Genomic DNA, 2,013 nt, shown 5'->3' on the forward strand with positions numbered 1-2,013 from the left:
TATTACAAATCTCTAAACAAATATATGAGGTTCTAGTGATACATTCATTTCTCAAAAATGAAAGCTAAAGCAAAAACAAATGAGTTTCCTTTATGTGATAAATCCAGATTGGAACTCAACCTGTCTTTACTATGGATCTCTAGAATTCTTTTCTTCCTTCCTAGGATAACTATTTCTGCTCCTCCAGGTAAAGGATGTAAGTGAATTGTAACTGCAGCTTTAACCATTCACGTACCACAAATTATACTGCTTATGCACTCACATTTCAGTTCAGACTACGCAGTATTTAATAAATATGCATGGCTTATCCTTAAGCTTAAATCATGTTGAGAGTATATGAACATCATTCTAACATCATTTGTTAATATGAAAATTCATATTTATTTGTTTTTAGCTTTTAATTTCAGGGGTACATGTGCAAAATGTGCAGGTTTGTTACATAGGTAAATGTGTGCCATAGGGGTTTGTCATACAGATTATTTTGTCACCCAGGTATTAAGCCTAGTATCCATTAGTTATTTTTTTCTGACTTTCTCCCTCTCACCCTCCACCCTCTGGTAGGCCCCAGTGTGTGTTGTTTCCCTCTATGTGTCCATGTGTTCTCATCATTTAACTCCCACTTATAAGTGAGAACATGCTGTATTTGGCTTTCTGTTTCTGCATTAGTTTGCTGAGAATAATGGCCTCTAGCTTCACGTACGTCCCTGCAAAGGACGTGATCTCATCCTTTTTTATGGCTGTACAGTATTCCATGGTGTATATGTACACATTTTCTTTATCCAGTCTATCATTGATGGACATTTAGGTTGATTCCATATCTTTGTAATTGTGAATAGTGCTGCAATGAACATGTGCATGCATGTGTCTTCATAATAGAATTATTTATATTCCTTTGGGTATATACCTGATAATGAGATTGCTGGGTTAAATGGTATTTCTGCCTCTAGGTCTTTAAGGAATTACCACACTGTCTCCCACAATAGTTGAACTAATTTACACTGTCATCAATAGTGTAAAGACATTTTCTTTTCTCCACACCCTCACCAACATCTGTTATTTTTTGACTTTTTAATAATTGCCATTCTGACTGGTGTGAGATCATATCTCATTGTGGTTTTGGTTTGCATTTCTCTAATGATCAGTATGGTGTTCATCATTTTTTCATATGATTATTGGCCACATATGTGTCTTCTTTTAAGTGTTTGTTCATGTCTTTTGCCCACTTTTTAATTGGGTTGTTTTTTTTTCTTGTAAATTTGTTTAAGTTCCTTATAGATGCCATATATTAGACCTTTGTCAGATGCATAGTTTGCAAAAATTTTCTGCTATTCTGTAGGTTGTCTGTTTACTCTGTTGATAGTTTCTTTTGCTGTGCAAAGGCTCCTTAGTTTAATTCATTGTCCATTTTTTCTTTGGTTGCAATTGCTTTTGTCATCTTCACCATGAAATCTTTGCCCATTCCTATGTCCTGAATTGTATTGCCTAGGTTTTCTTCTAGGATCTGTATAGTTGGGGGTTTTTAACTTAAATCTTTAATCCATCTTGAGTTTATTTTGGGGGACGGTGTAAGGAAGGGGTCCAGTTTCAGTCTTCCGCATATGACTAGCTAGTTGTACCAGAACCATTTATTTAATAGGACATCCTTTCCCCATTGCTTGTTTTTGTCAGGTTTGTCAAAGATCAGATAGTTGTAGGTGTGTAGTCTTATTTCTGGCTTCTCTATTCTGTTCCATTGGTCTATGTGTCTGTTCTTTTACCAGTAGCATGCTGTTTTGGTTACTGTAGCCCTGTAGGATAGTTTGAAGTCAGGTAGCATGATGCCTCCAGCTTTGTTCTTTCTTCGTTGGATTCCCTTGGCTATTCAGGCTCTTTTTTGGCTCCATATGAATTTCAAAATAGTTTTTCTAGTTCTGCGAAGAATGCCAGTGGCAGTTTAATGGTAATACCATTGAATCTATAAACTGCTTTGGGCAATATGGCCATTTTCACGATATTCCTTCTGCCTATCCATGA

This window comes from Homo sapiens, chromosome 2 (genome assembly GCF_000001405.40).
Source record: "Homo sapiens chromosome 2, GRCh38.p14 Primary Assembly".
Taxonomy (NCBI): domain Eukaryota; kingdom Metazoa; phylum Chordata; class Mammalia; order Primates; family Hominidae; genus Homo; species Homo sapiens.